Source organism: Homo sapiens, chromosome 9, assembly GCF_000001405.40.
Source record: "Homo sapiens chromosome 9, GRCh38.p14 Primary Assembly".
Lineage (NCBI taxonomy): Eukaryota > Metazoa > Chordata > Mammalia > Primates > Hominidae > Homo > Homo sapiens.
The window spans coordinates 34,328,672-34,348,675 of record NC_000009.12 but is presented as its reverse complement, the minus strand read 5'-3'; the positions used below and the strand labels follow the sequence as shown (position 1 = coordinate 34,348,675).

At 47.6% G+C, this 20,004-nt stretch overlaps 2 protein-coding genes across 10 annotated transcripts in view, besides 4 other annotated features; one reads left to right on the top strand and one right to left on the bottom strand.

Moving 5' to 3' along the window:
* Window positions 1–4,976: 4,976 nt before the first annotated feature.
* Window positions 4,977–19,107, bottom strand: NUDT2 (nudix hydrolase 2). Of its 4 annotated transcripts, none has more exons than NM_001161.5 (5): window positions 19,077–19,107; window positions 12,335–12,447; window positions 9,829–9,963; window positions 9,510–9,652; window positions 4,977–5,552 (listed from the first exon to the last, which is right to left on the bottom strand). In NM_001161.5, exons 4-5 carry the CDS (start codon window positions 9,634–9,636, stop codon window positions 5,236–5,238), a joined length of 444 nt encoding a protein of 147 aa, NP_001152.1. In that variant the 5' UTR covers window positions 9,637–9,652; window positions 9,829–9,963; window positions 12,335–12,447; window positions 19,077–19,107; the 3' UTR covers window positions 4,977–5,235. The 4 variants fall into 4 exon arrangements, with proteins under 4 accessions (NP_001152.1, NP_671701.1, NP_671702.1 ...); NM_147172.3 differs by having other exon boundaries at window positions 12,335–12,376; NM_147173.3 differs by lacking the exon at window positions 12,335–12,447.
* The window catches only part of KIF24 (kinesin family member 24), an 81,292-nt gene continuing 76,292 nt past the window's right edge, over window positions 15,005–20,004 (top strand). For 5 of the 6 annotated variants that reach the window (XM_047423343.1, XM_047423340.1, NM_194313.4 and 2 more), the window contains exon 1: window positions 19,408–19,570. The gene's annotated coding sequence lies outside the window, so the exon portion shown is untranslated. Of the gene's footprint in view, window positions 17,109–19,407; window positions 19,571–20,004 lie in introns of those variants that run through there. The other variant, XM_011517863.4, reaches the window with a different exon arrangement.
* Window positions 18,887–19,394: an enhancer, noted in NCBI's record as "H3K27ac hESC enhancer chr9:34329280-34329787 (GRCh37/hg19 assembly coordinates)". NCBI's record gives its function as "activates a minimal SCP1, AML or CMV promoter by ChIP-STARR-seq in naive H9 embryonic stem cells {active_cell/tissue: H9 hESC(naive)}" and the evidence as "EXISTENCE:reporter gene assay evidence [ECO:0000049][PMID:30033119]".
* Window positions 19,162–19,351: an enhancer, noted in NCBI's record as "active region_28309". NCBI's record gives its function as "activates an Ori minimal core promoter by ATAC-STARR-seq in GM12878 lymphoblastoid cells {active_cell/tissue: GM12878}" and the evidence as "EXISTENCE:reporter gene assay evidence [ECO:0000049][PMID:35858748]".
* Window positions 19,482–19,581: an enhancer, noted in NCBI's record as "active region_28308". NCBI's record gives its function as "activates an Ori minimal core promoter by ATAC-STARR-seq in GM12878 lymphoblastoid cells {active_cell/tissue: GM12878}" and the evidence as "EXISTENCE:reporter gene assay evidence [ECO:0000049][PMID:35858748]".
* Window positions 19,682–19,741: an enhancer, noted in NCBI's record as "active region_28307". NCBI's record gives its function as "activates an Ori minimal core promoter by ATAC-STARR-seq in GM12878 lymphoblastoid cells {active_cell/tissue: GM12878}" and the evidence as "EXISTENCE:reporter gene assay evidence [ECO:0000049][PMID:35858748]".

Sequence of the window (20,004 nt, the reverse complement as noted above, 5' to 3'; positions counted from 1 at the left end):
AAGGTATCTCAAGCCAGAGGCTTCTCCTCTCCAAACTGTGGTTCTGCCTAGGCTCCTTCCCTAAGTCACCCTCTATGGAGAACTTGGGAAGAACTGGTCATTTTTCTTCTTCTTCCTTTTTTTTAAACATTAATTGGTTGGGCACGGTGGCTCACGCCTATAATCCCAGCATTTTGGGAGGCCGAGGCGGGCAGATCACATCACGAGGTCAGGTGATCGAGGCCATCCTGGTTAACATGGTGAAACCCTGTCTCTACTAAAAATACAAAAAAAAATTAGCTGGGTGTGGTGGTGTGTACCTGTAGACCCAGCTACTCAGGAGGCTGAGGCAGAAGAATCACTTGAACCCGGGAGGCAGAGGCTGCAGTGAGTTGAGGTTGCGCCACTCCGCTCCAGCCTAGGTGACAGAGCAAGACTCCGTCTCAAAAAAAAAAAAAAAATTAATTAATTTTGAGATAAGGGTCTCACTCTAGCACCCAGGCTGGAGTGCAGTGGCACAATCTTGGTTCACTGCAGCCTCACCCTCCTGGGCTTAAGCAATTCTCCCCTCCTCAGTCTCCTGAGTAGCTGGGTCTACAGGTACACACCACCATGCCTGGCTAATTTTTTGTTGTTGTTGTTAGAGATGGAGTCTCACTACATTGCCCAGGCTGGTCTCTAACTCCTGGGCTCAAGTGATCCTCCTGCCTCTGCCTCCCAAAGTGCTGGGATTACAGGTGTGAGCCAATGCCACATGCCCAACCTTGGTCATCTTTCTTCTGATCCCTGTAAAAAGAAGCAACAGGCTACACTCTGGAGCCAACCCCATGATGGAGCAAGATGCTCTTCTAGCTCCCCATTCCCTAAGCTTATTCCCCAGGGAAACTCCTGTGGAGTGTAAAGACGACCACATCAGCAATCTCTTTGCTTGCCCTGCTCACTTAATCCACTGAAACTCTACATAAAGAACCTGGGCCATGGGAGGCGGAGCTTGCAGTGAGCTGAGATTGCACTACTGCACTCCAGCCTGGGGAACAGAGAGAGACTCTGTCCTCCCACCAAAAAAAAGAACCTGGGCCAGCACTTTGGGAGGCCAAGACGGGCGGGTCACCTGAGGTCAGGGGTTCAAAACCAGCCTGGCCAACATGGTGAAACCCCGCCTCTACTAAAAAATACACAAATTAGCTGGGCACGGTGGTGAGTGCCTGTAATCCCAGCTACTCGGTGGGGGCTGAGGCAGGAGAATTGATTGAACCCGGGAGGTGGAGATTGCAGTGAGCTGAGACCGCGCCATTGCACTCCAGCTTGGGCAACAGAGTGAAACTCCATCTCTCGGGAAAAAAAAAAAAAAAAAACCAACAACGAAAGAACTTGGGAAAGACTGGACTCTAGAACTCTGGGACTCTGACAGCCAAAGAGCTGGTAAACTGGCTGAGGTCCCAGGGGAGAGCTCTCCCTCAGAGGGGCTGGGGCAGGGCTCTCCTCCAATTTTAGATTAGTTCTGACCAGCCCCATTCTCTGGAGGAAAACTTCAACATGGAAGCATCTCCTGAACTGGTACAACTCTGCTGAGGTCTCCCTGAGGCCTGGCCTAACCCAAAGTGCAGCATCGGCAGAGTGCTGCTCTGCCAGTTGAGAGGGGTGTGGTGGGGCACGGGAGCTGGATTTTGTAACGCTCTGGGGTCTGAGTTCAGGTTGCCCAAGCCCCACTGGCCAAAAGCAAAGTGGTGATGTTGTCAAAGCCTACTCACCTGCCACATCCTAATCTCAGCTCCTCTCTCTCCCACCCTCATCCACCTCCCATAACATGCTTTAGTCCCACCCTACTGTCAGTTATTCCTGCAAAGAATACAACTTACAGCCGGGCGCGGTGGCTCACACCTGCAATCCCAGCACTTTGGGAGGCCGAGGTGGGTGGATCACGAGGTCAGGAGATTGAGACCATCCTGGCTAACACGGTGAAACCCCATCTCTACTAAAAATACAAAAAAAAAAAAAAATTAGCTGGGCATGGTGGCGGGTGCCTGTAGTCCCAGCTACTCAGGAGGCTGAGGCAGGAGAATGGCGTGAACCTGGGAGGTGGAGATTGCAGTGAGCCGAGATCGTGCCACTGCATTCCAGCCTGGGCGACAGAGTGAGACTCCTTCTCAAAAAAAAAAAAAAAAAAAAAAAAAAAATACAACTTATGAGGGACCTCTTCACCAAAGTACCTACATTTTAATGGAACACTCTGTAAGGCCCAGAGGAATGACTCCAAAGCTATATATACATACATACATATATATATATATATATATATATATATATATATATATATATATATATATATATATATATTCTAAAGCAGTCTTCCCTCTGGCACCCCCTCTTCAAAGCACCCCATCTATAGATACTGCCAGGGCCATCTATCTTGTTAAGTCTCAATTTCCCCAGCAATAAAAATGAGCAGCCAAATCAGGTCATTTTCCAGGTCCCTTCCAACTTTGATGTATGAGGTCTTAGACTTGAGATTCCACAGCCTCCCATTCTGAGAGTGCGGAGCTGGCCAGCCCTTGTTAGGAGGCAGCTCGTCTGTGGTTTGGCACTACTGCCCAGCAGGCATTTATTAAATCAGTGTGATATGGTCCCTGCTGGCCTGGAAAAAGAACATTAAGCTCCAAAAACTTCATGCAGCAGGCCTCCTTCAGAGAATGCTGCTCAGAGGGTGAGGAACAAAACCATTCAGGCCCCTGGCTGTGCTCCAAGATCCTGTTCACTAGTACTTTTGCCCTGTCTGCATGGAGAACTGGGGACTAAAAACATCTGGAAGTCTGCTTAAGACCTGGGCGAGTTGTCTTTTCTTCCTTTGGGGGTGGCTGTTCTTGACCCTGGTAATCCAGGCTGACCTCTGCCAATGCCCCTTCACTTCCAATCTTCTGCACTTCATTGGGCAACAACTTTCTAATAAAATCCACATGAATCCAGCTGCTAACAGCTCCTGGAAGGGCTGTGGGATCTAACACCTGCTCCTGCATTCCTTGAGCCCTAGTAGCAAAGGAAAACAGGGCTGAGACCCAGCTCTTGCACCTCTGAGTCTTACAGTGGAGTTGTGGACAAAAAGAGTAGATAGGAAGGCTGGGCGTGGTGGCTCATGCCTGTAATCCCAGCACTTTGGGAGGCCGAGGCAGGCAGATCACCTGAGGTCGGGAGTTTGAGACTAGCCTGACCAACATGGAGAAATCCTGTTCCTAGTAAAAATACAAAACTAGCTGGGCATGTTGGGGGCACATGCCTATAATCCCAGCTACTCGGGAGGTTGAGGCAGGAGAATCACTTGAACCTGGGAGGCAGAGGTTGCGGTGAGCCGAGATGGTGCCATTGCACTCCAGCCTGGGCAACAAGAGCGAAACTCTGTCTCAAAAAAAAAAAAAAAAAAAAGTAGATAGGAAGAGAGAAACATTAATGATGAGGTTTTGCTGAGGGTGGGGAAGGCAGCTGCAGGTGAGGAATGCACAGGTGTAATGATGTGACTGCTGGGTGGCCCAGCAGATTCCTTTGGGTCTGGGCTTGCCTCATTCCCAGTGACCTTAGTCATGTTAACAAGGCTTATCACTCTGGGAGGCAGGCCTGGTCTGAGAGGACAGAGTACACGTGTCACTGACCTGGGGGTCCAGGGTTGCCTGTCCCTCCTCTCTCTGTTGTGACTTGGGGAGTCTAAAATTCTTTCTGTCTCTATTTATTTATTTATTTGAAGTGGAGTCTTGCTCTGTTGCCCAGGCTGGAGTGCAGTGGTGTGATCTCAGCTCACTGAAACCTCTGCCTCCCGGGTTCAAGTGATTCTTCTGCCTCAGCCTCCTGAGTAGTTGGGACTACAGGCATGAGCCACCATTTTTGCATTTTTGCTAATTTTTGCATTTTTAATAGAGACGGGGTTTCACCATGTTGGCCAGGCTGGTCTTGAGGTCCTGACTTCAGGTGATCCACCTGCCTTGGCCTCCCAAAGTGCTGGGATTACAGGCGTGAGCCACTGCGCCCAGCCTATTTATTTATTTTTGAGACAGTCTCACTCTTGCCTAGGCTGGAGTGCAATGGCACCATCTCAGCTCACCACAACCTCCACCTCCCAGGTTCAAGCAATTCTGCTGCCTCAGCCTCCCAAGAAGCTGGGATTACAGGTGTGCACCACCATGCCCAGCTAATGTTTGTGTTTTTAGTAGAGATGGGGTTTCACCATGTTGGCCATAATGGTCTTAAACTCCTGACCTCAGTTATCCACCCACCTCAGCCTCTCAAACTGCTGAGATTATAGGCATGAGCCACCACGCCTAGCCAGTCTCTAATTATTTAAGGTAATACTTTCATTTTTTGAGACAGTCTCGCTTTGTCGCCCAGGCTGGAGTGCAGTGGCACGATCCCAGCTCACGGCAACCTTCATTTTCCAGGTTCAAGTGATTCTCTTGCCTCAGCCTCTCGAGTAGCTGGAATTACAGGTGTGTGCCACCACCCCCAGGTAATTTTTGTATTTTTAGTAGAGACAGGGTTTCACCATGTTGCCCATGCTGGTCTCAAACTCTTGACCTCAAGTGATCTGCTCACCTAGGCCTCAAGTGCTGGGATTACAGGTGTGAGCCACCGTGCCTGGCCCTATTTAAGGTAATATTTACTGAGTACTTACAACATATGTGCCTGCTGCTGGTGAAAGATATATTAGTGAGTAGGACAGACCCAATTCCTGCACTCCAGTCCCACTCACTTGGAAATCCTGACTATGGGTCACAAAGTCTCAGGGCCCCTGGTGGGGGTGGGGTGGGTGTGCTTGGCATTCCAGAGGCGAGAGAGCCATCCTGCCAGTGCTGGGTCTCTTCCATTTGGATCCCTAGCTCTTAAGTTCTCTGGGGATACTGTATGGACACAGAGTTCCCTCTGGTTAAGGTCAGAACTCTGATTCACTTCAGCTTTCTTCTCTCCACCAATGCCAAGAGTCCAAGAAATAAACACAACAGGTTAGAAGGACAACCTTGAGCTGCTTGAGGTTTATTTATAAAGTACAAGGTACACTTACTGGGCCTGGCCTTTTTAATTTTTACTCTTTTGCCTTCCTTTCCACCCAGCCAAGATTTTTGCTTGCTCTCACCTGGGAGTTGAGCCGATTTCACAAATCTGCTCTTGGCTGTCATGAGCCAAATACCAGCACAACCTTCCCTGGACCTGAGGGTGGCTTCATCTTAGAAGGCCCACAAGGATCCTGCTGAAGCAAATGACTCTGCTCCAGTCAGCTCAGGCCTCTATGGAGCAAAGAAACTGGTGTCCTTCTTGGAGCGCTGCCTTCATCTCCTTGAACTGAGCCAACTGGCAGGCCTCCTCCAGCCCCAGCCAGCGGTAGGCTTGGTGCTCATGGGAGAGGCGGATCTCCACGTCATAGTCCTTCACCTCCGCCAGCCAGTAAATGACTGTTTTAGGCTTGTTCCTGGCCACATAATTGAGTTCCCTTTTGAACCCCTCAATAATGGTCAGCTGGCCTGCTTCTATGCCTGCTTCCTCTTGGGTCTCCCTCAGGGCTGTTTCCAAGTCATCCTCTCCTGGTTCCACATGGCCTAGTTAGGAGAAAAGAGGAAGAAAAGGAGGAGGAAATCTTCCAAAGTTCCCAAAGCTGGATTTTCCAGACAAGATTTTTTTTTTTTTCTGTTTTGCTTTGAGACAGGGACTCACTCTGTTGCCCAGGCCAGAGTGCAGTAGTGCAATCAGCTCACCGCAGCCTTGAATTCCTGGGCTCAAGTGATCCTCCCACCTTAGCCTCCTGAGTATTCAGAACAACAGGCATGTGCCACCATGCCCAGCTATTTATTTATTTATTTATTTATTTGGTAAAGATGGGGTCTCACTATATTTCCCAGGCTGGTCTCAAACTCCTGGCCTCAAGTCATCCTCCTGCCTCAGCCTCCCAAAGTGTTGGGATTACAGGTATGAGCCACCACACCCAGCCATTCAGTGACTTTTCTAGGTGTTGCTAAAGGAAGCCTGGAGATTGGCAATATCCTAACATGCCTGGGAAGGGGGTGCAGGGCAGGTAGTGTCTAGTTCTCGGGGTTTGAGCAATCCCACCTTTCCATTCCCTCTTCTCTGCAGAGAGTGAAACAGACCATGTGTATAGCAAGTCAGGTTTAGAATACTGCTCTTTTATGGTGTGAGATGACCTTCTTCAGACGTCTGCTTTCTTATTCTTCGGAACTTTCTTCATCCCATGCTCTAAGGAATCACTTTTCTATTGGAGACCTTGAAGTGATTTTTCCAAGGAGGGGGAAGTCCTTTCTTAACAAGTGGAAGTTAGCTGACGAGGAAGTACTTTGCCTACAATCCAGTGAGGACTTAACATTGTCTGCAGGTGGACCCTGACATTCCAGGGCCAACAGGCTCAAAACCCTGCACGGCTGAATGAGCAGCTGTTTCCATGAAGCTATCAAGGCTTTTTCCAAATTGTTTTCCTCTTTCTTACTGGGCAAAGCCAGATTTCAGTTTCATAGGGAAACTCTTGATGGGAACTTAGACTAAGGGCCAGCTGAGAACCACTTCTAAGAAAATGTGTTAGCAACACCCAAACCCAAGAAGACAGCTGCCAAGAAACTGCTGTAGGAGAACTTGAAGCTCTGCAGACTGGAGCAGCTCTCAGCTTTACCTCTAGTCCCCTCCCACAAATCTTCAGCTTCCCCAGAGGGGGCAAAGACTGGGAACGGTCTGGCAGACTCTGTCTACACCTTGGCTCCAGTAAGTTTCTAGGGAGGCCTCCTGCTCACAGGCTCATGGCGAGCAGGAACTCAGTTGTTCTCTCCTTGGTTTGGAGATGGGGGCCCTCATCCTTCCCAGGGGTCTACAATGCCCAGAGCCAGCTGCTGCACAAAAAACTCCCCAGGGTCCAGGGGCGGTGGCTCATGCCTGTAATCCCAACACTCTGGGAGGCCGAGGCGGGTGGATCATCTGAGGTCAGGAGTTTGAGACCAGCCTGGCCAACATGGTGAAACCCTGTCTCTACTAAAAATACAAAAATGAGCTGGGCGTGGCAGTGGACATCTGTAATCCCAGCTACTCGGGAGGCTGAGGCAGGAGAATCACTTGAGCCCAGGAGGCGGAGGTTGCAGCGAGCCAAGATTGTGCCATTGTACTCCAGTTTGGGCAACAGAGCGAGACTCCGTCTCAAACAAACAAACAAAACCCCCAGAAACTTAGCACTTAAAAACCATTCTAGCTTATAGCTTCTGGGGAATTTTCTCTGCACAAGCACCTCCTATAGTGGTGTACACAAAGACAGACAGGTAATGCATCAGGGGAGCAAGGTGGGAGGGATGCTAGTAGTGATGGGTGATACTGACTCAGGACGTCCTACCTCCCCTCAGAGGTGTATGGAAGTCCCTGAGCACACCCCTCCCAGGGGCATCTATTCAGTATTCTGTCCATCAGTGTTAATTAACAGGGTAGCTTCTGCCGAAGCAGGAAAGGATTAGGAGAGGTCCACTGACATCAGGTAGTGAGAGGAACAAGGCAGTGTGACTCATGTGATCCGGAGACAAGTGTGAATATTCCTATTCATAGTATTTGTGAAGCTTCTGCCTCTTTTTTCACCTTGTTTCTCCCCAGTACAACTCAAACATGCAAAATTTATTTCCTGTTCCCATTTCCTTGTTTTCCTTCAATCCTGGATCTTTGTCCATCCCTTCTAACCCCACTCCCTTTTAAAGTCCCCGCTTCTGGCCAGGCGTGGTGGCTCATGCCTATAATCCCAGCACTTTGGGAGACCAAGTGGGCAGATCACTTGAGCCCAGGAGTTCAAGACCAGCCTGGGCAATATAGTAAGACCCTGTCTCTATAAAATAGTAATAATAATAACAAAATAATTTAAAAAATAAAGTCCCTGCTTCCTTCTGTCTGAGGGCTATTCCTCATTCCAGCAGGCACCTGAGCCACAGTCTGTCCCTCCCAACTCAAACCATCCCAATGGCCTCAGCCAAGAAGGGCTCCTTTTTCCCATTTCTCCCCACACAGCCTGGCTTCTCTTTCAGGACCAAATGACTGCAGCTTTCTTACTCTTAGAGGTGAGGTCAGGAGTGCTGGTGGATGAAAACTGGCCAGCTTACAAACAGATCTTGGCCTGGCCTAAGGCCTCAGGCCAGTAGTCTTCACTGTTCTTCCCACTGGAGACTTGCCCGACTCCACCCTCAGTGCTGAGTGATAGACTCAAGGCACAGGTAGCTAGCTGGTCAAGCTGCAATCTCAAGGTCTCCATAATCTTTACAGTCTAAGAAGGCCCTGCCCATCCCCTCCTGGTCTAAGAAGGCCCTGCCCATCTCCTCACTCCTCCACTCCTGCCACAATCTGCAGATGAATCTATGATCAGGGAGCCCAACTTCTCTATGCTCCAACTCAAAATACAACTATGTTCAGAAACACTGTAGAACTCATACTCTCTGTGTTTAGTTCAAAAGAAAAACCTGGCTGGGTGCGGTGGCTCACGCCTGTAATCCCAGCACTTTGGGAGGCTCAGACGGGCAGATCACCTGAGGTCAGGAGTTTGACACCAGCCTGGCCAACATGGTGAAACCCCGTCTCTACTAAAAATACAAAAAATTAGCCAGGCGTGGTGGTGGGCGCCTGTAATCCCAGCTACTCAGGAGGCTGAAGCAGGAGAATTGCTTGAACCTGGGAGATGGAGGTTGCAGTGAGCTGAGATTGCCCCACTGCTCTCCAGCCTGGGCGACAAAGCGAGACTTTGTCTCAAAAAAAAAAAGAAAAGAAAAACCTAATGATAGGGACACTGAACTAGGAGTCAAAGGAAATTGATCAAATGAAATCAGAGACAGGCTGGAAGAAAACTTAGGATTTTCTTTTTTTTGAGACAGGCTCTGTTGTCCAGGCTGGAGTGCTGTGGCACAATCTCGGCTCACTGCAGCTTTGATCTCTCGAGCTCAAGTTATTCTCTAACCTCAGCCTCCTGAGTAGCTGGGACTACAGGTGTGCACCACCACACCTGGCTAATTTTTGTATTTTTTGTAGAGACATGGTTTTGCCATTTTGCCCAGGCTGGTCTCGAGCTCCTGGGCTCAAGCAATCTGCCCACCTCGACCTCCAAAAGTGCTGGGATTATAGGCGTGTGCCACTGTGCCTGGCTGAAAACAGGATTTTCTAGTCAAGCCCTTGTTTGACAGATGAAAAACTCAAAGCTGAGAGGTGGGCACATAGCTCAGTCAACCTCAAGGTCCCCAATTCCCTGCCCACTGTTTTTTCTCTTACCCAGCCATTCACCACAGAGGTTGGAGAGCTGGCGAATGATACTCATAAAAACACCAGGTGCTGTTTCTACCCTGGAATTCAGTCACAGAATTCTCAGCTCTACTCTGGCCTGGTCTGGAGACCTTGTATGTAGAAAGGGTCAAGAGCTCCTACCTTCCCTACCCCTTTTTGCTACACAGTCACTGGGAATTAAGCCTTGGGGAGGGCCTGGCAGGGTAGATTTCTGAGCAGTGGTTGGCAGTTTCCCAAGAGCTGGCCCCTCTGGCCTCTACCTTTGGGAGGAGTCCAGTGATGAATGCCATCTGATGCCTGCAGCAGTAAAAACTCAATTGCATTGTTGTCCACTTTGGGAATGAGGCATCTTCGGAAGATGATCAAGCCACATGCTCTCAAGGCCATGGTCTTATCCTAAGGACTTAACAAAGAAGATACAGAATATTGGGAAGTTACACAAAATAGGAAGCTCCATACTGGGGGGTAGCAATCTGGTGATGGACAGTAATGCAGACTAGCTAACTGTGATCTCATAGCCCACAGAAAAAGGCAGCATGCCCAGGACCAATGGAAGGCATCCAGGAATCAGAGACTGACCTTTGTGTATAACTGCAGGACCCTGGCAACTACCCTCAGTCAATGTGGCCTCTATCCCAACTCCTCCAGGGCTCCCTGTAAAACAGGGCTGGCATGTGTTTGTTGTGACACTGGAGATCCTCAGAAGCAAACGCACTGAAACAAGAGAGATGTTGGGAATGGGAGAGAGGCAGTACAAGTTTTATCGTCAAACCTGTAACCCCATTTCCCCCAGCCCATATCCTGAGCCCCTGAAGCACAGAACCCCCCAGCAGTGTGGTTTCTGACAATGCAGAGAGGTCATCTACAGAGAGTAACTTCATATAGAAAAAAATATTTCGTTGAGTTTTTTTTTTTTTTTGAGACAGGGTCTAGCACTGTTGACCAGGCTGGAGTGCAATGGTGTGATCATGGCTCACTGCAGCCTTGACCTCCCAGGCTCAAGCAAACCTCCCACCTCAACCTCTCAAGTAGCTGGGACTACAGGCATGCCACCACCATGCCTGGCCAATTTTTTTTTTTTTTTTTTTTTTTTTTTTTTAGAGACAGGGTCTCACTATATTGCCCAGGCTGATCCTGAACTTCTGGGCTGAAGTGATCCACCTACCTCAGCCTCCCAATGTGTTGGGATTATAGACATGAGCCACCATGCCCAGTCTGATTTTTTTTAGTCTTTTATTTTATCCTTTTTTTTTTTTTTTTTTTTTTTTTTAAGAAACAGGGACTTACTATGTTGCCTAGACTGGCCTCAAACTCCCAAACAGAAGTGGTCCTCTCCCTGGGTGGATCACGAGGTCAAGAGATTGAGACCATCCTGGCCAACATGGTGAAACCCTGTCTCTACTAAAAATACAAAAATTAGCCGGGTGTGGTGGCACACACCTGTAATCCCAGCTACTCGGGAGGCTGAGGCAGGAGAATTGCTTGAACCCGGGAGGCGGAGGTTACGGTTGTGGTGAGCCGAGATCGGGCCACTGCACTCCAGCTTGGCGACAGAGTGAGACTCTGTCTCAAAAAAAGAAGTGGTCCTCCCCCCTTAGCCTCCTGAGCAGCTGGCAATACAGGCACATGCCACCATTGCCTGACATTGCTGGTGCCCGGGGGTTGCACAGCTGATGCAGAGAGGGCAGCTGGAGCAGGAGCTGCTATCCTCCACAGTCCCTTTGCTGGTGCTCAATCAAGATGAATTTGCAGCTATCAAAGGCATAAAAATCAGGCCCAAACAGAAACCTACTCCAGGGCAATTCTCAAGACTGCCAACAGATGGTAATGTTACTCTAGAGAATAGCGGTTTCTCACCAAAAACCAAACACCCAACACCAAGACCTTTCCAAGCTTTTCTAAACCTGTAACAAAAGTTTTTAAGGACTGGAAATAATCTCAAAGGGGATTTCTGAAATGGTCTGTGCTCTCATATACTGTTGGTAGAAAAGTAAATTAGCATATCCCCTTAGGAGGGCCATTTGATAATAATTATCAAAACATAAAATGCACATTCCCTAAGAGCCAGCAATTCCATTTCTAGCCACTCTCACATAAGAAATATAGGTTTAAGATGTACACACAACGGGCCGGGCACAGTGGCTCATGCCTGTAATCCCAGCACTTTGGGAGGCCAAGGCGGGTAGATCACCTGAGGTCAGGAGTTCAAGACCAGCCTGACTAACATGGAGAAACCCCGTCTCTACTAAAAATACAAAAATTATCCAGGCGTGATGGCACACGCCTGTAATCCCAGCTACTTGGGAGGCTGAGGCAGAAGAATCACTTGAACCCGGGAGGTGGAGGTTGTGGTGAGCCGAGACGGGGCCACTGAATTCCAGCCTGGGCAACAAGAGCGAAACTCTGTCTCAAAAAAAAAAAAAAAAAAAAGATGTACATATAACAATGTTCACTACAACTTTGTTTGCAATATCAAAAAGGAAAAGAGCCAGAAACAAATATCCATCAATATGGGAATAGGCAAAAAGTACAGTATATCTATATGATGAAATAGCATGAAGTCATTAAAAAAAATGAGGTCGAGGCTGGGTTCAGTGGCTCGAGCCTTTAATCCCAGCATTCTGGGAGGCTGAGGCAGGAGGATTGCCTGAGCCCAGGAGTTTGAGACCAGTCCGGACAACACAGTGAGACCTTGTCTCTCAAAAAATAGAAAAAAAATTAGCCAGGTATGGTGGCATGCACCTGTACTTCCAGCTACTTGGGAGGCCAACGTGGGAAGATTGCTTGAGCCTGGAAGGTTGAGGCTACAGTGAGCCATGTTTGCACCAATGCACTCCAGCCTGGGCAATACAGTGAGACCTTGTCTCAAAAACAAAAGAAAAAGAAAAAAAAATTAGGTCAAGCCTAATGTACTGCTTGTAAGAAAAATTTTTAGACACATGAAAAGGAGACAGTTCTGAATAGCATGTATAATGAAATCCCTGTTTGAGTTTACAAATTCATATATAAAGTGGTAGGCTTTCATTTTTCTATTCTATTTCATTGTTCTATTTTCCTGGACTCCCTATTTATGTCAAGAACTTACCCCATTCCAGAAGCCAAAAGGAAGCACCCCATCACTGTAGAACTGGTGAACAAAGATCTCATATTATTGGTCCGTGGTTGAGGCAGAAACAGGTAGCTGATCCCATGCCCTCCCTATAAAGATGCTCAAAAAGCATTAGAAAGTTATAGATGTGGGGTACCTTGCTCCTGCCTCAGGTCCCATGGAATGTTAGAACCCCTAAATAAGCTTAGGGATCCAAGACTAGAGGGTCCCATGGAATGAATGTTAGAACCCCTAAATAAGCTTAGGGATCCAAGACTAGAAGGTCCCATGGAATCAATGTTAGAACCCCTAAATAAGCTTAGGGATCCAAGACTAGAGGGCACAGTGCCCTGCCTAAGACAGGAACTCCATACCACTGCCACCATCAACACAACATGGACAAGCAAAGATGCCTGCATGGGGAGCCAAGAAAGACAAGCCTGGGTTAGCCACATGGAACCACTGGGGAGAGGAAAGCAGCGGTGGGGTGGGGGAGGAATCTTAGGGTAGTGACAAGGGTGTACCCTAGCAAGAATGTATTTCAGTGGATGCCAGTGTATTAGGGATGACCACATCTAAGAACCACATCAGCTAACAGTTAATCTCAATGGCGCCAGAAGAGCTAGGATCAGATGCTCATTCTCCATCTATATTCTGGACCCATGGAAAGAACAGTTCTTCTAGAAATACAGAACTCCTCACTGCTCTTTCAATTGCTTGGCTTGAGCCAGCTATTCTCTAGAATTCCTCCTACCCACTCTATACACACAACCTCCTACTCGTCAGAAGCAGCTCAGATGTCACCTCCTCTGTGAAGCTTTCTGGCTTCTAATCACTTCCATGCTCTGCATCCTTAACACGGCTTGAACAAATTTAAAGTTCAATCAGGGAAGCAAACGCTATGAGTGACAGAAAACTAAAGATTTATTATAAGGAGTAGACACTGTGTATCTTTGGAAGTTGGTGGATAAATCCATGCAACTCTGCTGCCTCTGCACCTGGTGTTGGGCCCGAAGTCTGTGAGGCCAGCAGTTGGGAAGAAAACTGGATGTGAGGTGGAAGAGAACAAAGACAAACTGGAACCTCTGAGAACAAACTGGGATCTACAAGGACAACTGGAACTCATGAGGACAAACTGAAACCCACAACTTCCTTTCACTGGTCCCAAGCTCAGTGACTCAGGTGATCTGGAGAAGCCGGAGCCCTCTGCTACAGAGCTGACTGCACACATGGCCCAGGACTCAGAGGAGCTGAAGGAGGAAATTCAGTAGGAGCTAGGGGTGCTGGGGGCTGTGTGATGACCTTCACCAACAAGGTGAGCCAGATCAGAGAGAAAGTACAGGTACTGCCACTATGCCTGGTACCCTGCTCTGTCCTTCACAGCGTACAGACCCTGCTCTGTCCTTCACAGTGTACTGGCTGCTACTTCAATTCAGCTTTCCAAATCTCTCACGAAATTTTCTTGTGGACAACCCTCACCTGGAAGCAGATAGGAAGGATACTGGGAATCCAGCTTAGCTAAACTGACACAGTACAATGCCACCACAAGCACATATACCTAGTATAGTAAATCTCTGCTGGTACCTCTGGCAGGGAAGAGACAGATTATAAGCTCTGTTTTCTTGGGACCCAGCACAGCAGTTCTGAACAGATGTTCATTGACTCAAAAGAACTCTCTCCCCACCTCCCACTCAAACAAATGTTTGAGTATGTTCTGGGGCCCTGGGAAATAGCCCAGTGTTTTCCTGAAGAGTGCCATTTACATAAAAGTGAATGGAACTATTGTTGGGGGTTTTCTGTTTTTCTGGAGACCACAAAGCTGAAACTGTTCATGGGTTTGAAAGTAGCCAGCTTTCACACACAGACTCCAAGTGGATTCAAACCTCAGGGGGTTAAGGAACACAGCATCCAATATGCAAATATGCCTGCAGCCAGGATTGCGGAGGTGAGAACTCCAGGCTGACAGCAGGCAATTCACACTTCAAAAAAGTGGCAGAGTGCCTGAGGTGGTTAGAAAAAACCTGAACAAAAAAACCTTCAATGTCATTAGAAGGTTCTAGAAGCTAAGGAAAAATATTCTCGGCTTTCTCCATAAATACAATTCCCTCAGAGCCTAGGAGGTTCGGGACCTAGGTACCAAAAAAAGAATTTACAAATACATGGCTATGCTGTTTGTTTCAATATTTTCATCAAATTAATCAGAGTAACTGTAAAAAGCCCTCAGAAATGTAACTTTAGGTACAGGAAGAGCTCTCCAAATTTTCCCTCTGACCTGTTCTCCATATTCTAATATCCCTTTAGCAGAAACAGTGTTTCATGCCGCGTTGTCAATTAAGCATCTATATATACTGTGCCAGCTATACTGTGCAAGACTTTTGACAACTATTGTTTCTAAAGCTCAAAACAACCTTTCAAGAGAAGCATTATTATATCTAATTTACAAGGACACTGATATTATTTCAAAAGGTTAAAATACTTGCATAAGGGCATAGCTGGCCTGTAAAGGATGGGATTTCAATCCAAGTAAGTCTAACTCCAAAGTCTATAATTTTTGTCCCTTTCATAGCTCTGTTCACCATGAAAGAGTAGGGCTTAGGACACAAATGGCCCTGAGAGAGGACAGACAAGATTTATAAAATCATTTCCAGTTTCAAAATTCCCAGTCCTTTTTTTTTTTTTTTTTTTTTTTTTTTTGACAATGTCTCTCTGTGTCATCCAGACTGGAGGGCAATGGTATGATCACAGCTCACTGCAGCCTCAAGAGCTCACTGCATCCCTTCTGGGCTCAAGGAATTTTCCTGTCTTAGCCTCCTGGGTAGCTAGGACTACAAGCAGGAGCCATCACATCTGGCTAAATTTAAAAAACACTTTTTTTGTAGAGATGGGGTCTTGCTATGCTGACCAAGCTAGTCTTGAACTCCTGGCCTTAAGTGACCTTCCCACTTTGGCCTCCCAAAGTGCTGGGATTACAGGTGCAATCTACTGTGCCTGGCCCCAAATTCCCAGTCTTTAATCTATATTCCTTTGGAGGTTAAGATGTCTAGCTGGGATCATTTCCACCAAAAAGGTTTTAGTTGGGGGGAGAGGGCCGTAGATGTTAAATCCTGGTATCCGAAGAAGACTCTGAAGGAGGGGTAAAATGTAGCCTCAGGCTCCTAATAGCACCCATCTCAAAAGGGTTTCTATGCCTCCTCTGCTCTTTTCTGGGAAGTAGGAACCTAAAACCACATGTTCCACTTAACTTAGGGCACTAGTGTCCAGAAAATTTGCCCAGACCCTCCTCCAGATGAGGAGGAAAGCCAACTGTTTGCCTGCCCACAAGCAATTCTATGTGACTGCAATTCTATGTGACTACTCCCTCACCTCCCACATCATCATCATCTTTTTTCCAATTTGCCAGTTTCTTTCTTCCCTTTTGGAGTGGACAGAAATGAGGCACCCACCCATGAGTAAAGCTCTTTCTTGTAAGAACAATAACAAATGGAAGAGAAGAAAAAAGAAAGAAATGCAAAAGAAAAGCCCCAACTACCATGAATAAATTGAGACAAAGAAAATATTCCCTCAAATGCACCTTTCCCTGGACATCTGCCACTCCATTCTTGCAGAGACGAAGCTGCTGAGTCATTTTGTTATTTTTGCTATTGGCTGAGGGAGGAAACAGGAGATTTTACCTGTAATGGCATAAATATTGGCTTCTAGGATAAGGCCAAAGTCAGACAAGGTTGGGACAAAAATCATTCTTAGTGAAGGGGATTTGTTAAGCAGCCTATTAGTGCCATCTGCTGTACAATTCTAGAAAGCTAACTCGGGGAATTTGTCTGTTGTGCGTATCCCATGCGACAGACAGTGTGAAGGATTGACAGATAGATATGAAGCTGAATACTACCAAGCACCAACTTCCTAGAGATTTACAGGCTAGTGAAAGTGGAAGACATTCCAACAGACAAGTTACAGTGTGTTTTGTGCAACGTAAGATGGAAAGGCAGCAAAGAAGCATCTTTAGGTTAACAAGGTACCCCATAAGGATTCTGATGGGTCACTAGTTTACCAGGCAGAAGGGAGGCGGATGCAAGGCACTGCCAGCAAAGGGAGGAGTGTGGGCAACACCCTCAAGCACAAAATGACATCTCATTGGTAAACAGCTTAGTTTATATTCTGTAGGCAATGAAGCCTCTGACTGGTTTTAGGCAAGGGTATAATTTGGTCAGACTGACATTTTACAAAGATATTCTAGCTGCAAGCAAGCTGGGGAACGAATTAGGACAGATTGGAGGCAGAGAGATTAACCAGTTACAAGTCTATTGCAACAGACCAGTTAACAAATGATTCCAGTTAGATCAAGGCAGAGGCTGTGAGAAAGGAAAGGAAGGGATGAATCTGAGAGATATTTCAAAGTAAAATGGACAATAGTGATATTTCATTGTCTAAGGGACAGAGAGATGTTTCATAAGCCAAGGGAAAGAGAAAGGCTTTGGTTTGAGTGCCTGGGTGGAGGAGGGGGTGCAAGTGAAGCATTTGTTTGGGACAAGTTGAATTTGAAGTGCTATAGTCTATCCATAAGATAAATGAACAGATGGGTCTAAAGTTCAGTGATCATCTCATCCTATCTCTTCATTTCCCAAGGTGGGAATTTACTTTTTTAAAATTATTTTTATTAAAACAATTTTTTTCTCCTCCCTTCTCTACCAAGACCACGGTGAAAATTTTCTATTAGAGCAAGATATTGCTCCTACCATAGGTACCTCTGCAGCTCACATTCCCTCCAATTTAGGTAAGTCAAGCTGTCCAACCTGCCCCTGCATCTGTCTGGTATTCCAAGCATTTTCATCCTCCTTTAGTCAGAAACACAGAAAAGCATGGCTGTCTATGCAGTCAGAAAGGCCTAGCTATTGAAGTTAATAGAGCAAGATACTTAGAGCAAGATACTTAACTTCCTCATTTGTAAAATGAAGTTAACACCTACTTTGCATGGTTGTTGTGGAGTTTATAAATGACATATATAGAGGGTCTGACATTATCAGAGGTACTAAATATATGAGTTACTGTTACCCGTGTGTCATAAAAGATCATCAAAAAGCTTCTCTGTTTTAAAGAAATGACTTTTCATCTTGTCTGTTAAACTGCTCAACACTGTTCACCACAGTATATATATTCCTTATAAGGTCCCACAGCATAAATTCCTTTTAATATAGAAACTAGAAAAATAATTTATCTTTTGAAGAATGGATTTGTTTCCTTATTAGTAAGAATTACCTTTTTTCCCTTAACTGACTAATTTTGGGCAAAATTGGGTACTCAGTTACAAAAAGTACACCAACGCACTGACTAGTGTATTTGCCTGTTCTTATTATAAGAATAATAGCTACCTTTTTTTTTTTGAGACGGAGTCTCCCTCTGTCGCCCAGGCTGGAGTGCAGTGGTGCGATCTCTGCTCTCTGCAAACTCCGCCTCCCGGGTTCGTGCCATTCTCCTGCCTCAGCCTCCCGAGTAGCTGGGACCACAGGCGCCCGCCACCACGCCCGGCTAATTTTTTGTGTTTTTAGTAGAGACGGGGTTTCACCGTGTCAGCCAGGATGGTCTCGATCTCCTGACCTCGTGATCCGCCCGCCTCGGCCTCCCAAAGGGCTAGGATTACAGGCGTGAGCCACCGCGCCCGGCCGCTACCATTTTTTAAGAAGTTACTACTCGCCAGGCGTTGTGTCAAGTGCTTTACCTTCATTATTTCACTTAATCTTCACAACAACCCGCTGAGGCATTACTGCCATTTTTCAGAAGAGTAGAAAGGGAACTATAGCTCAGAGATGTCTGGGTAAGTGACTCAAATGTAGGTCTGCCTGACTCCTAACATCAATGATCTTAACCTTAACTCTATAATAGCGTTTTACATTTGACAATTTGATTGCATTCAGTTTTTTTTTGTTTTGTTTTGTTTTTGAGACGGAGTCTCGCTCTGTCGCCCAGGCTGGAGTGCAGTGGCGCGACCTCCGCTCACTGCAAGCTCCGCCTCCTGGGTTCATGCCATTCTCCTGCCTCAGCCTCCCGAGTAGCAGGGACTATACGTGCCCGCCACGACGCCTGGCTAACTTTTGTATTTTGTTTAGTAGAGACGGGGTTTCACCGTGTTAGCCAGGATGGTCTCGATCTCCTGACCTCGTGATCCGCCCGCCTTGGCCTCCCAAAATGCTGGGATTACAGGCGTGAGCCACCGCACCCGGCCTGCATTGTTTACGCTGTCCCTTTTTTGTTTGTTTGTTTAAGGCGGTGGGGCTCTTGTTCGACTTTCTTTACTTCTGCTATAACTGCCACGATATTATCCATTCAATAACTGAAGCAATTAGAAAACATAAAATCTCTTTTGGAAAGCAGGCGGGGTTTAATGGGTAGCAACAAGTGAAACTGAGGCCCAGGGAGGGGAAGGTTCGGCGCCTGGGCCTCTGGGCCCTAAACCTGGACCTCTCCCGCCTCTGGGATTTGGACGACCCACCCTATCCCCACTCCGACGGGGACAAGCAAGGCTCAGAGTCAGGGAACCTCCCTTCTCCCGGTGCAGACAGGAAAACTGAGGTCCTGAGAGCGGATGGGACCTGGCCTGCCCACACCTCACTGCCAACTTAGAGGAGGGCGCATCCCTCTCGGGCCCTGCAGCGACCAGAGGTTTGCCAGAGGCAGATTCCCATCGCTCCAAGGCTCATTTCCTCCACTGAGAACTAAAATCAAGTGGGCCCTTAAGGGTACTCACCCGAAGCAGAAGGAGGTAGGAGGCGGACCTTGGACGGAAACTGAAGTACACCGGCCAATCAGAAGAGCCTGGTTACGCTTGGGCCCATCAATAGAATTCGGCAGAAGGATCTTCGACCCGCCTCAAAGGTGCGCGTCTCACACTGAAACGTCGCGAGATCTTCCCTCAAGCGGAACGATTGGCTGAAGGTCGGAAATTGAGAGTTACGCCCACGGTTTCTTCAGACCTCTGATTGGTCTTCCAGAGGAGAAGTCAACGAACGTCAACCGATTCCTTGGATGCCCATTGGTGGGCGGTGCGGGACTGGCGACGCGCGGGCCACAGCGCGGGCGTTCGAACTGGCGCTTGGCGGCGTTGCCATGGAGATGCGGCCTGGCCGCCGCCGGTGGCTCCCGGGTTGACGGGACTGTTAGGTTGCGGGCTTTGGGGCTCACTCCCGACGGCATTGTCTTCTCCTCTTCTCAGACAGGGCAGACCGAGGAGTTTGGACCGAGGTGAGAAAGGGCGGGGAGAATAGAGGAGGGGTAGGTCTGGTCCGGAACCGTGGCGCCTGCCCGCGGACACGGGTGCGCGTGACGTCGGCTGAGCGCGGGAGGAAACTGGCAGTTGTGAGGGAACCGAGAGTTGGCCCCTCTTGGCTCTTCCTAAAGTTCACCTACTTTCCTATCTTTCATCCCCATATCTCTGCCTTTTCTTCAGCAATTATCTTGAACGCCACTTCTCTCACTTTGGGAGACTAAACTCTTGAGTCCCAAAGCCTTCTTGCTTTTGAACCGATAAGCCTGACCGGCACCTCTTTTAGGGCATTTCTATTCGCCCTTGGGTTGTTTACTTCCGGGAAGCCCGTTCGCTTCCCTTTTCCCATAAAATTTTGAAGCCTTTGAGGTAAGGCAAGCATCGTTCACAATGTCTTGCACATAGTAGATTT

What these genes read in the sequence shown, in the direction of transcription:
- NUDT2 (NM_001161.5), bottom strand. Translation starts at nt 9,636, where the DNA reads ATGGCCTTGAGAGCATGTGGCTTGATCATCTTCCGAAGATGCCTCATT. An exon ending in TCACTGGACTCCTCCCAAAG is followed by an intron (nt 5,553 to 9,509) that starts GTAGAGGCCAGA and finishes TCTCCTAACTAG; the next exon opens with GCCATGTGGAACCAGGAGAG.